We start from the raw sequence: 13704 nt of genomic DNA, 5'->3' as shown, positions 1-13704 counted from the left end.
ATTTTAGAAGACAAGGGTTTTCATTGAGGGTGAAGGCAGATACAAATATAGAATTGGGAAGATAAAGAACCCAGTGATGTTGGATTTCAACCAATCAAATATATCTGTATGAACTCATGACATATATAATTTCCTTGTTCTGTTCACTGAAAGGGCCTAGAAGCCGTTACACCCCAATAGCAATGAGTACATCCATCTCCCATATCTGGATACCATTCCCCACTAAAAGGAACCAGGATTCTTGGGAGAAATGGTTGGTTCCAGGTCCAGGGCAGGAAGAATGCAAGCTAAACCTGGAACATCTTATCCTCTTGGCCCAGAAAGCAAGGAAATCCTCAAAGACTGATGGAGCCATGTCAAAAGAACATAGGAGGTGGCTTAAAGGGGCTCTCACCAGCCAAATCTGAGATAATTTGAACATAAAAAGGAAAAATGATAATAATGGCTACTGAATTAGAACAGTAAATCTTTTAGAAATACATGAGTCTGAAGCATTAATTTTTAAAAGAAGAGAAAGGATCAACAATAGATGCTAAAAGCACTGGGTAACAATTCATGGGGAAATGGGATATACACATGGTCTCAAATTATCACCCCCTATTTTGCATTAATTACAAAAGGGAGGAAAGTAGCTTTACAAGGAAGAAATCTGACAAATATCATCTTAACCAAAAGATCAAACTTAGTATCAACAATAATGGTACAAGTGACGTCATATGCCCCTGATATGGGAAGGACAGACTTTATATTGTAGGTCTTGACAAAGCATTTATTTATAACTATTTATTTATTGTTGCCAAAATATTTAACCCAAATCTAAGCACAACAAAGTAGTTGGGCAAAACTCAGATTGTGGGACATTCAACAAAACAAACAGCCTGGTCCCTTTAAAAATCAATGTCATGAAAGACAAAAAGAGGCCAGGGGCAGGGGAGGGGGGGAGGTGTTGCTGTTCTACACTAAAAAAGACTAAAGAGACATGAAAACAAAAATGGAGTCTGCATTTAAAATAGCTTTAAAAGATACTATTGGGCTAATTGGGAAACTTTTAATACAGACAATATATTAGATAATATCATGATAATGTTATTGTGGTTAAGTAGTCAGGTATCCTTATTCTTAGGAGGTCACTGCTGAAGTTCTAAAAGTTCACTGAGCAAAAAGTCTCTGTGTATGTGGTTGGAAGGAGAGAGAAAACTAATGGTGCAAAATATTATTCTGCAAATGAGGATCCAGACAGTAAAGGGCAAGACAGCACAGATGTTAGGCTTTTGGTCACATATTCTTTTGTTACATATTCTTTGCATTTTTTATTTTTAAAATACCGCTTAAAAACATAAAAACTATTCTTAGCTCGAGAGCCACACAAAAACAGGCAAGATTTCCATTTGGGGTAACAAAAATGTTCTAAAATTGATTGTGGTGATGGCTGCACAACTCTGTGACTATATTAAAAGCCACTGAATTGTATACTTTAAATATGTGAATTGTATGGTATGTGAACTGTATCTCAATAAAACTTTTTGTCAAAAACTGGTTGTGAGAGGGCCATAGTTTGCTGACCCCAATCTACCACTCAGTAGTAGAAAACTAATTAACAAACTAAACAAAAAAAAATACTGAAGAGAATTTTCCATTCCCATTTTACAGGAACTAAATCAGGATTGTTTACTCAAAAAAAAATTGCCAATGATTGTACAGCTAAGACAATCTGACACATTCACCATATTATTTTAAATTTCAATTAGACAAAGCAAGCTGATTACTCTAGTTCTAAACCTTGTTATTGTGCTATACAATTAGCAAAGAGCTAAAATTCTAAGTATATAACTTCAGTAGGAATTAAAAAAGATCAATTACTGTTGCAGCCCTCAAAATCAGCAAGTTTTAAATGACCACGGGATTGAAAACTTCAAAATAAGTAAAGACCACACTACTTGAATAACAGAGACATGAAACTTCATTTCCTGATGTTGTTTCTGCTTTTTATGTTTAATTTTCCACAAAACCATACTTCTCTTCATCTTAGAACATATTCCGTATCTAAAAACAATGGTAGTTAGGTCCTTCTCTCAAAGGTAAACTATCAGAGTATCAAGTCATCTCTAATTTTAGAGAATTCTTTAAATCTCAAAACAACACCCTGGAAAACAAAAGGTAGGTACCTTTCTCATCAGCATCAAGGGCATCATCTTCAAGGTCATCATCAAAAATCTCTCGGCCATCTTCCACATAGCCAATACCATCTGCAGGGACAAAATTTAATACTGGGATCAAATTTCTAAAAGTGGCCAATAATATTTTAGCCATGACCAAAAAAACCTTTTATACCTGCTCAGATGTTTTCCTGGCCTGTGCTATTTTTAAGTGCAGCAGAATTCTGTTCACACAGGTGTCAGACAATGCACAGCATCCACACAGCAGGTGTGGAGTCAAAACCAAATGATATATATTATACCTAGTCAGGTGACCTCAGGAAACGATTTGGCCCAAAGGATCAAAGTCTGCCACAATAGGATGCTTTATAGCAGTTTTACTCTACCAGAAGAATAAAAAGTAAAAGAATCAAGATTACCACAAGCCCAGAGAGATATCCCAGTCTACAAGGGAAAACTGGCAATATAGCTGAATCCAACTACACAAGTAGAAACATAAATAGTCACAGGCACAATCTACATGCTCCCTGTGGTCAGCATTCACATGGCCATGAAGTCAGACCCTACAAGTGAGAACCAATGAGCTTTCAGAAGGGGCACAGGACATTAGGACCAGCCTTTGTATGGTGCTTTCTACTGACCAAGTTAATTTTCATACCTAGAACCTCATATACACCTCACAACTCTGGGAGAAGGTAGTTTTCTCATCCCCATATTACAGATGAAGACTCTAAGGCGCAGAGAGATTAAGTGACTTGTCCAAGGTCATAGAATTGGAAAGTAGGAATGATGGATCCCGAACCTGCATTCCTTAATTCCAAGCGCTGTGCATTGGCCCCACAGACAAGGGGCTCCTCCCAATTCTTACACAGCCATTACCTGGAGGATTTATACTACATCCTGAGGTATGTGCCTAGATTCTCCAAAATATCCCCAAATAAATGTCCTGCTATTCTGCTTCCTCATCCTCAAATAATTAAAGGAAAATCCAAACCAAAGGTAAGATCCTAACAGTGCCTTACATTTGCCCAGGCAAAGCAGCAACTCCACCACATGAGTGAGAATCTACAAGAAGCAACTAACACAGTGCCTAGGAAGCAACATCCCCGCCCCCACCTCCGCCCCACCTACCATCATCCACAATCCAGTCATCATCCTGGCGTGCCTGAACCAGCTTCGAATACTGTTCTTCATCAACTTCTTCATAAACACCTGTGAAGTCCTCGACCTACCATTATACAAGTTTCAGGAAAAAAGCTTCAAATAGAGGAGTCAAAGTGTTAAATAATTCTGATGAAAAAATTGTCAAATTGAAACTGGAATGGCAGACTGAAGGAGTAGCTGCAACCAAATCATGAGTTCTGACATTCAACACCACTACAGGGTTTTCCTTAAATAGACATCAATTAACTTAGTATTCCTTTTAGGTGGGTGTTAACATAAGATATTAAATGATTCCATTAGCATAATACACTTGTCATACCATCAATTACTCATCTATTTCATAAAAAACAAACTGAATTATAGCCAATTCTTCATTAGCTGCTTTGGGGAATTATTCACTTGTAATTTCTAGACTGGTTTCTCCTACACTTAGCAAACCTGTAAGGCATGCCACTTCCCTCTCCACTAGCTGATGTACGCTCTGCAAATAGACGATAATTTTCATGCCTGTTCAATCAACCAAATACAATTCAGAAGGAAAATCTCCCTCATCCATCCCCTTCCAAAAATTAGCAAAACAAACATATTGCATATTCTACAGGCAAACCAGAAATAGTTTTTGAGTGACCCTGTTTGTATTACCACTGAAACTCCACCATCCTCAGGTCTTGAAACCACACAAGGACTTAAACGCTGAGCTATTTGAAAGGCAAGTCCAGAGAGTGGCAGGTCCTCCAATCATATTGGCTGCCTGACTGCAAGAGGGTCAGAACACTATGAGCTACTGGTATGAGTAAAGCAGACAACCTCTGCACAGCTAAAGCAACAAATGAAAGATACACACCACTGCTGCAGCTGCCCATGGGGAAAGGCCAGTGACTTTCCAGATGAGACTCTGGTGGGCTGGTTTGCAAAATCTCATAGATACTTATTAAAAATTAACAAATGCTGGGCACAGTGGCTCACGCCTGTAATCCCAGCACTTTGGGAGGCCCAGGTGGGTGGATCACCTGAGGTCAGGAGTTTGAGGCCAGCCTGGCCAACATAGTGAAACCCCATCTCTACTAAAAATACAAAAATTAGCCAGGCGTGGTGGCATATGCCTGCAGTCCCAGCTACTCAGGAGGCTGAGGCAGGAGAATCACTTGAACCCGGGAGGTGGAGGTTGCAGTGATGCAGTGAGCCGAGATCATGCACTGCACTCCAGCCTGGGTAAGAGACCGAGTCTCCATCTCAAAAAAAAAAAAAGTACCTGATTCTCGGCCAGGTGCAGTGGCTCACGCCTGTAATCCCAGCACTTTGGGAGGCCAAGGTGAGCAGATTACTTGAGGTGAGGAGTTCAAGACCAGCCTGGCCAACGTGGTGAAACCCCATCTCTACTAAAAATACAAAAATTAGCTGGGCATGGTGGGGGGCGCCTGTAATCCCAGCTACTCAGGAGGCTGAAGCAGGAGAATCGCTTGAACCTGGGAGGTGGAGGTTGCAGTGAGCCAAGAACACACCACTGCACTCCAGCCTGGGAGAGAGAGCGAGATTAAAAAAAAAAAAAATTCTCCCATTCTCTCAAGAGTTCTACCTCAGCCGGGTGTGGTGGCTCACGCCTGTAATCCCAGCACTTTGGGAGGCCAAGGCAGGTGGATCACCTGAAGTCAGGAGTTCCAGGCCAGCCTGACCGACATGGTGAAACCCCGTCTCTACTAAAATTATAAAAATTAGCCAGGCGTGGTGGCAGACACCTGTAATCCCAGCTACTTGGGAGGCTGAAGCAGGACAATCGCTTGAACCTGGGAAGCTGAGGTTGCAGTGAGCCAAGATCATGCCATCGCACTCCAGCCTGAGCAACAAGAGCAAAACTCCACCTCAAAAAAAAAAAAAAAAAAGAGTTCTACCTTTCTCAAATGGAGTACGGGAGAAACAACTCCATCTGAAGAGTTAATACCCTAGGAAAAAACTTGGACAGAGCTTTTGGAATCCAGTGGCCAGAGCTGACTGGATTTCTGCCACACCTATAAGGCTTATAATAATTACGGGATTTGAGTTTTCACCTCCTTTTTAGCCTACTCTACAGGAATCACTGGCAAATACTGATTTGGTCTTTAACCATCTAGTAACAGAAACAACCTGCCTTACCAAATTAAGCTTTTAACAAAAGAGATGCAAAATAGTCCAATTAATATTACTATACTGACCAACTTTCTTTTTTGGGGGTGGGAGGGGAACTGGCGTTATTATTTTTGTTGGTTGAAGACAGACTTTGTCTCTTACTTAAGTGATTCACTATATTATCAAGGAGATACCAGAAAACTATTTTTAAAAATCATTTTGAGTAAAAAGTCATTTCGACTCAATCTTTAAAAACAACATTACTACTGCTCAGCATGAACTCTTAGAGCCATACAATTAACATCACAGTGTTAAAGGGAAATCAGCCACATTGTGCCAACATCTGAAATGCCCCATGGAACTCCTTTATACAAGTACCTACATTAAAAATGTTTTAGTCCTGGGCTCAGTGTGGTGGTTCACGCCTGTAATCCCAGCACTTTGGGAGGCCGAGGCGGGTGGACCATTTGAAGTCAAGAGTTCAAGACCAGCCTGACCAACATGGTGAAAGCCCGTCTCTACTAAAAATACAAAAATTAGCCAGGCGTGGTGGTGGGCGCCTGTAATCCCAGCTACTCGGGAAGCTGAAGCAGGAGAATCGCTTGAACCTGGGAGGTGGAAGCTGCAGTGAACCAAGATCGTGCCATTGCACTCCGGCCTGGGCAACAGAGAGAGACTCCATCTCAAAAACAAAAAAAATGCTTTATTCCTGTTTTACTGAAATCCTTTTAGCAACCTTTTATGATCTGGTTGCCTCACTTAACTTGAACAAATGGTGACAAATGGCAAATATTCTTTTATTTGGTTAACTGGTTAAACAGAAATATTCTGAAGCCAGACTGTCTGGGTTCAAAAAAGAATCTGCCATTGTAACCTCACTAAACTTTCTGTGCCTCGGATATCTCACCTGCAAAATGTTATTAATCATAGTATCTAATTTCATTTGGTTATTGAAAAGATTAAATGAATAAACACATTGGTAAACACACTTAGAATAATATGTTAGTTCAAAAAGTCTATCAGTTATGGTTGTTATTTTCTAGTATTGGTTAATCACTTTCTGGCCATAAGGCAATTAAGATACTCAGGAAGCCCTGAAGGTGATGCTAGACAATATTTATGCAGATGGTGGCCACTCTGTTTTTGACCTGCAGGCCATAAACAGTGGGTAGAGGAAAACCAAAAGAGCATCACATTCAATCTTACAAGCAGAACACGGCAGAAGTTAAGGTCCAAGTCTCCACTGCCACTACCCTTGCAAATGAGATTAGGAAGAACAGTTCTCTCCAAGAAGTAGCACTTAGACTGCTCAATACCTTAAGAGTAAGTAAAAGCATCTCTAAATGACCCCAACAAACCCATGGGACTTACCATAGATACAGCATGCTCAATAAGGAAAAATATAGATATGACTATGTACTTTCATTTTGGAATTTTAAAATCATCTTTAAAATACCTTATAGGAACTTTAAGGGTCGAACATTCTCCATGATCTGTAAATCTACCTCATACCCATGCTTGTCCAATACTAATAAATTCCCATTACAAAAAGTTTAAAATATATGAGTATTTCTAATCTGGGGCAAAGGTGACATAAGACTACCTGCAGGCTATGAATTAGATGATGCACAGGAAGAATAAAGAAGAAAAATGGTTACTTACTTCATATTTATACTTCTCACCAGCTTTAGCCTTTTTCAGTCTTTCTAGGGCTTCTTGGCGCCCCTTCTTTGATTTTTTTTCTCGCCGGGCTCGAGAAGATACAAAACTCCCTGAATCTGACAGAGCTGAAAAAAGAAAAAAAATTTACAACAGATGTTACAAAATTGTCAGCCATCTTCCCTCAAACACAAAGGAAAAGTTTCTAGCCAACAATAACATACAATTTTAGTAATATACAAGTAGATAATGTTTATAATGTAAATAATTCACAAAGCTCATGGCCAAACATACATATCCAAATATACATGACTCGCCAGAAAGTTCCTCCAAGATCCTGTTAAAACAATTAAAGTCACTGTTATTTTTTTCTCTAAAAAGAGGAAAATTCCCAATTCAACTGATATCCTGCGGAGACACTAAACAAGGGAGATCAGCTGTTAGCTAATTTATCACCTTTCCATTAGAAATGACCAGCCAGAAGTAATCCAGTGGGTTATAAAAGCACTATTCATTTTGCAATCTGTCAATCAATATCTAAAAGGCTTCAAGGAGCATCTACTCTTTGCAAAGTACTAGGCACTATGAGACACAAAGACAGGCTGGGCGTGGTGGCTCACACCTGTAATCCCAGCACTTTGGGAGGCTGAGGCAGGCAGATCACCCGAGGTCAGGAGTTCGAGACCAGCCTGGCCAACATGGTGAAACCCCATCTCTACTAAAAATACAAAATTAGCCAGGCATGATGGTGCATGCCTGTAACCCCAGCTACTTGGGAGGCTGAGGCAGGAGAAACACTTGAACCCGGGAGGCGGAGGCTGCAGCGAGCTGAGATCGCACCATTGCACTCCAGCCTGGGCAAAAAGAGAGAAACTCCATCTCAAAAAACAAAAAACAAAAACAAAAAACAACAACAACAAAAAAAGATAAAAAAGACATGGTCTCTGTACTCACAGAACTTACTATCTAACATGGGAGACAAGTAGCAACTGGCTCTAAACAATATTTAGAGATAATAAATGCCTTAAAAGAGATTCAGCCAAAGCACCCGGAAATTCAAAGAAGGAACAGATTGAGGGCTGGAGAAATTTAACAAAGATGGCTCTGAGGGGATTATTGGTATATCACTTATTTCAAGGCCTCAGTTGGTTATGACACAGGACATTACTAAAACAACTACAGGGACTTAAATGGTTTGTCAAAAATTACTGAAATATCAGAGGACTTCAGCGTTTATTCATTCAACTTTTGAATTATTCATGCTCCGATCATCATAAACTGACCGTTCCACACACACACTGAAAAAAATTCAAGCGGATGCAGTGGCTCACGCCTGTAATCCCAGCACTTTGGGAGGCTGAGGTGGGTGGATCACCTGAGGTCAGGAGTTTGAGACCAGCCTGACCAACATGGTGAAACCCCAACTCTACTAAAAATACAAAAATTAGCTGGGTGTGATGGCAGGCACCTGTAATCCCAACTGCTTAGGAGGCTGAGGCAGGAGAATCCCTTAAACCCAGGAGATGGAGGTTGCAGTGAGCCGAGATTGCACCACTGCACTCCAGCCTGGGTGACAGAGCGAGACTCTATCTCAAAAAAAAAAAAAAAAATTCATCCACAGAATTAAAGACTTTCACATACCCACTGATGAAAAACTAAGTCAAGCATAACAGTGCTGCCTGTCAACTACGAGTTTAGGCTCAGCATGATTGCCATCTATGTCTGTGAAATCTAGTATTTTACTGTGTTTGGTGCTAATTAATTTATAAAAAGGAGCAGGCAAAGAAAAGAAGTATGGATAAGAGGCAGCCTAAAACTCCAACCCCACTAGAATGTTCATAACAACATTAAGCTGCTTGACTAAGTGTTTGACTGAAATAGAAGATACAATTTAAAGAACATGTACCAAATGCTGGCAATAAACTGCTGGAAACTATAGCCTAAAGGTAAGGCATAATTAGAGATCTTATTTTTTTCTAGCTTTCTAGAAATGGAATCTCTCTTTATAATATCACACTCTATTGTTTGACTTTCACATTTGACTTTTAAATCCATTTTCAGAAAGACATTAAGTAAAAATTAAGGAATAAAGGTACTTAATGATGACAGCCACAAAAACTTGGATGTCACTCAAATGATTTCAAAAATCGTGAACAGGCCTACATGAAAAGGCTTTGAAGATTACTGAACATGACCCCTGAAAGTGAAAAGCGATTCCCCTCAAGACTCCCTTGATGCCTGACATCTGTAGGTCTTCAAATGCACTTACTCCATAGGCAACAATGTTCCACTACACAGGCAACAATGTTCCACTACACAGGCAACGTCCCACTACACAGGCAACAATGTTCCACTACACAGGGTTTAGGGTACAATCACAAATAAGACAGAGCTGCCTGTCCAAAAGAGGCCCCCAGTCAAGTAAAGCAAAGTACCTGAAATTACCATCACAATATAAACATGGTGCCATAGAAAAGGTAAGAACTCAGTACTGAGGAAATGTACAGAGGAGAGAGCTGTTAATTTTGCCTGGAAAATCAAGGAAGGCTTCACAGGAGAGGTTTCCAATACAGGCCTAGAAAAAGGAGTCAAATTTCACAGAGAACAAAGTAAAAAGTGGCACAAGCAAAAGAAGAGGCATGAGCCAAATTACAAAGGGATGAAAATGCATAGTGTATTCAGAAACTGAGAGAACTCAGTGTGCAAGGTAAATTCGACAAGGGAGTGTAGAGTGAGTAGGAGAACCAGGTTAGGGAGAAGCAGCACATTCCAGCTCTGCCATTTACTGGGTGACATGAGAACACCGGTTAACCAGTTAAGCAGCAGACAGGTGTCTTGTTATTTAAAGCAGCCTAGCATCTGAAACTGTTTGTGAAATCCGGCCCCCATCCCTTATAAGTCTTGATGAGACGCAGAGCCTATGCCCCATTACAGAAGCTGAAAAGGTTGATGCTCTTTCCCAGACACCCTTGCAGCCTAGAGCATGGGCATATAAAATAGGCGCTACCGATTAGGAACACCTGCTCAGACATTAAATCAGAAGCTAGTGTCACAAGGAAGGGGGCATGGGTTTTAAAAGATTCTACAAGTAGCAACAGCTGCAGAAGGATTACAAAACCGGCAACAATGTCAGCAATGTCCTAAGGTATGAGCTATAGCATCAAGTACTTGCTCGTGGTTGGCAATGACCTCCTCACTGGCCCATTTTTGTGGCACAATTTCACTCACTGTTCCTGGCTAAACAGCTCCCAGACTGGCTTACTAGTCCTCCTGGAGTTTCTGTGAACACAATATTCTTCTAACAAATTCTAACCAATCTGGTAGAGTTGGTTCCTGCAGCTTACAGATAGGGGCTCTGACTGATGCAGAGCCTCAGGGTCCACATCTGTGAAATGGGGATAATCATGTCTGCTTCAAAATCTGTTAAGGATTACATGAAGATGCCTATCTTACTTTGCACTTAGCAATATAGGAGCGGCTCATGTAACGCTTCCGCGTGTGAAGTCAAACACACATCCACATACCCCACACACACCATACCTAAGAGTACCAAGGTCTAGCTTTAGAAGGCAAAAACAAAGCAAAGCCGTTTTCTGCATATGATTAGATGTTTACCATCTGTACTTCATGAAGACAAACCATGTCCAGCCTACCCACCATCATAATGCCAGAGCCTGGCAGAAGGCTTATACCTAGTAGGTATATAATAAATATTTGCTGAATGAACCAATGAATGAACCACTGTACCTGCTTTTTTGATCATTAAACTTTCCCTGGCCGGGCGCAGTGGCTCATGCCTGTAATCTCATCACTTTGGGAGGAAGAGACAGGTGGATCACCTGACATCAGGAGTTCAAGACCAGCCTGGCCAACATGGTGAAACCCTGTCTCTACTGAAAATACAAAAAATTAGCCGGTGTGGTGGTGGGCACCTGTAATCCCAGCAACTCGGGAGGCTGAGGCAGAACTGCTTGAACCCAGGAGGCAGAGGTTGCAGCCAGCTGAGATCACGTCACTGCACTCCAGTCTGGGCAACAAGAGGGAAGCTTTGTCTCAAAAATAAATAAATAAATAAAAATTCCCTGATCTTTTTTCATATATAGTAACAGCTAGTTACAGACCTTTCAACTTTTCACTGCCATTATCAAGGTGCCCTGCCTGCTAATACTGAAGAAAAAAAAAAGCCTACATTTTGTTTTTTGGAGTATGTCTCCAATGCTTCACGTAGGTAACTTAGCAAAAAAAGAATAAGCATGAAAAAAATCCAGCTACAAAGGTTTAAATATTTGTTTCAAAATTACCATCTGGAGTATCTCTATCCTCCCCAAAAGCAGACAGACACTAGCTTACAGCAGTCTTTCAGGTAACAATCCTTCAGTCTGCTCTAAAGGAAAAATTCCAGTCACAAGTCCCCAGCAACTACTTAATGAACACCATGACCTAAGAGGAGTCTCAAGATTGCACAGTATCCTCCAAAGTGATTTCCTGATGTTCATAGATGACGTAGTTTTTAGGATGAAGAAAGGGCTTAGTGGCAAATCACTGATAGAGGCCTGCAAAGACTGTTCGTTCACATACTTACACCCAACATCCTATCTGTAATCCAGGCAGGTCGACTCTCCAAAATAGTCTTAAAAAACGAACGGCTAGAACAAATTGAAATCTGTGACTCACAACTAGGTGAATGCAAAGGAAGCTGATTAGGAAGCGAGTTCTCATTAATGGTGATGTATCTGAATGACAGGAGAGGTGACGCTTGAGCTAACAAAGTGAAGCATCTGATTTTAAGTTAGAAGTTAACTGAAGTCACGCTTTAGTTGAACACTTAAAAAATCAGACAAATCTATTTGCATTTTTGTATTCTATTTTTGGAAATAAAAGACACCCCTGACAAACGGAGTGATATACAGGGGATCCGAAATGCCCTAAATTGATGCCATTTTTTTGAAACTTCACCAGGAATGACTAGATTGTGAACAGGATTTCTACGCAGCACTTGAAGAACTTTCCAAAGAATCTGAAAGAAAAATTGTTAATGCATAAAGTAGAAACCCATTACCTAAAAATACAAAACGCGTTATTCCCCGATGACAGCACTTAGAGCTTTCTTTCCTGCTTAGTTACAATGTATAAAATTTTCCTGGAAGTTCCTACAAAAAGGGACACAGATCTGTTCTGTTCAAGCCTTCAAGTGGATACTTAGGGAGATCGCAGTGAAATACTTTCGGCCCCACGGGGCCAGTCTCAATAAAGTTATACCCAGCACGTGGGTGCAACTCACCAAAAGAAATAGAAACGCAATCGACTGTGGAGACTCTCAGTGGCAGAGGTGAGACAGCCTCCCAAACAAAAATCCCTCCAGGCTCTGGTCCTCCAAGAGCAAACCGCGCCTAAAGGAAGCCCGGTCCGACGCCAGAAGGGCCCCCGCCGGGGACGACCAAGGTCTGCGCCCAAACAAACCCGGGTGTGCGCCTCCCTCAGAACCCCCACCACCGGCAATCATGCCACTGTCCCAACCCGGAGCCCCGCGCGCGGAATTGTCCCTCACCACTCGCCCCTATCTCACAGTCGTCGCCGTGCACAGGTGCCATGGTCCCGAATCTCCCGATTCCGCGCCAACCAGCCCAAAACTGGCGCGGGGGCCGAGACAGGCGCCAGCCTGAAAGCCAATCAGCGGCTCGGGAGGCTGCGGACTTCCGGCCGGAAGGCCACTGACGTGCCGCGCCGCGCCGCGCTCCGCCCCCGGCCTTCCCGCGGACGCGCGTTTGGCGCCCTGTGATGACCCCTTAGGGAAAAGCTAGAGCTGAGGGGAAGCCGGAGGAGAGCAGGAGAAAGAAGCGGTCGGGCGCTGGAAAGGAGCCGCCTGGAGACTGCGCAAGCGCACGCATGCTGATGGGAAAAGATTTGGGCGCGTGGGAGAAAGGGCGCTCTGGTTCTCAGAGCCCATTTTCCCGGAAAGGAGGCGCGGGCGGGCAGGAGAGTGGGCGTGGTTGGATCGTTTTCCCCAGAGCCGGGAAAGCGACTGCCTCCTGCTGCGCGCCCTGAATTTTGCCTGATAGTTTGCTTCTCAGCAGTCTGGATACAGTGGCTGTGTGATTAACAACTTAAAGATATATGCTCCGTCTTAACCAAATAACCAGAAGTAGCATTACCAATAAATGGCCATCTGATCTCATATGCCTCCTGATGTAATGCGTATGAAAAAGGAAAAACTTCGCCTATATGGTCTTCTTGCAAAAAATGTCTAACCTGAATCTAACCATGAAGAAACAATCAGATGTATTCAAAATGTAGGACAATCTACAAAACACCTGACGTGAACTCCAAAATTTCAATGTTATGAAAAACAAAAAGGGTATTCAATTTTTGTGTATGATACAATGGCTGTAATGTGTACATCTCATGTTATCTCTTTCCAAAAAGGTATAACATTTTTATTAAATAATGCCTGCCACACATTTGTATTTTTTCCTACATTATTGCCCACATGCTTATTGATCCCTTCTTCATGTGACAACAATTTTGTAATATTTTCTCCAAAGAGGATATAAAGATAATTCAATCTGTCTTCTAGCATGGTTGATCAATACTTGTTTCTTAATTTCTGATTGTTTAGAAAATG

At 41.6% G+C, this 13704-nt stretch overlaps 1 protein-coding gene across 16 annotated transcripts in view, besides 2 other annotated features; it reads right to left on the bottom strand.

Annotated features, from left to right (window-relative positions):
- Positions 1 to 12717, bottom strand: part of POLA1 (DNA polymerase alpha 1, catalytic subunit) — a 303069-nt gene extending 290352 nt beyond the window's left edge. For 10 of the 16 annotated variants that reach the window (NR_165483.1, NM_001440806.1, NM_001330360.2 and 7 more), the window contains exons 1-4: positions 12631 to 12717; positions 7086 to 7210; positions 3288 to 3384; positions 2166 to 2246 (exon numbers count right to left, since the gene is read on the bottom strand). Coding sequence is in view for 12 of the 16 variants with exons in the window: in NM_001440806.1 (NP_001427735.1) it covers positions 2166 to 2246; positions 3288 to 3384; positions 7086 to 7210; positions 12631 to 12673 (346 nt within the window). In the remaining 4 variants the exon portion in view is untranslated. Of the gene's footprint in view, positions 1 to 2165; positions 2247 to 2331; positions 3255 to 3287; positions 3385 to 7085; positions 7211 to 12630 lie in introns of those variants that run through there. The other 6 variants (NM_016937.4, XM_047442180.1, XM_047442183.1 and 3 more) reach the window with 4 other exon arrangements.
- Positions 12456 to 12545: an enhancer, noted in NCBI's record as "active region_29507". NCBI's record gives its function as "activates an Ori minimal core promoter by ATAC-STARR-seq in GM12878 lymphoblastoid cells {active_cell/tissue: GM12878}" and the evidence as "EXISTENCE:reporter gene assay evidence [ECO:0000049][PMID:35858748]".
- Positions 12736 to 12895: a silencer, noted in NCBI's record as "silent region_20721". NCBI's record gives its function as "represses an Ori minimal core promoter by ATAC-STARR-seq in GM12878 lymphoblastoid cells {active_cell/tissue: GM12878}" and the evidence as "EXISTENCE:reporter gene assay evidence [ECO:0000049][PMID:35858748]".

The sequence above is a fragment of the Homo sapiens genome, chromosome X (assembly GCF_000001405.40).
Source record: "Homo sapiens chromosome X, GRCh38.p14 Primary Assembly".
Classification (NCBI taxonomy): domain Eukaryota; kingdom Metazoa; phylum Chordata; class Mammalia; order Primates; family Hominidae; genus Homo; species Homo sapiens.
Note: the sequence above shows the minus strand (reverse complement) of the source record. Positions and strands in the feature narration are given on the sequence as shown.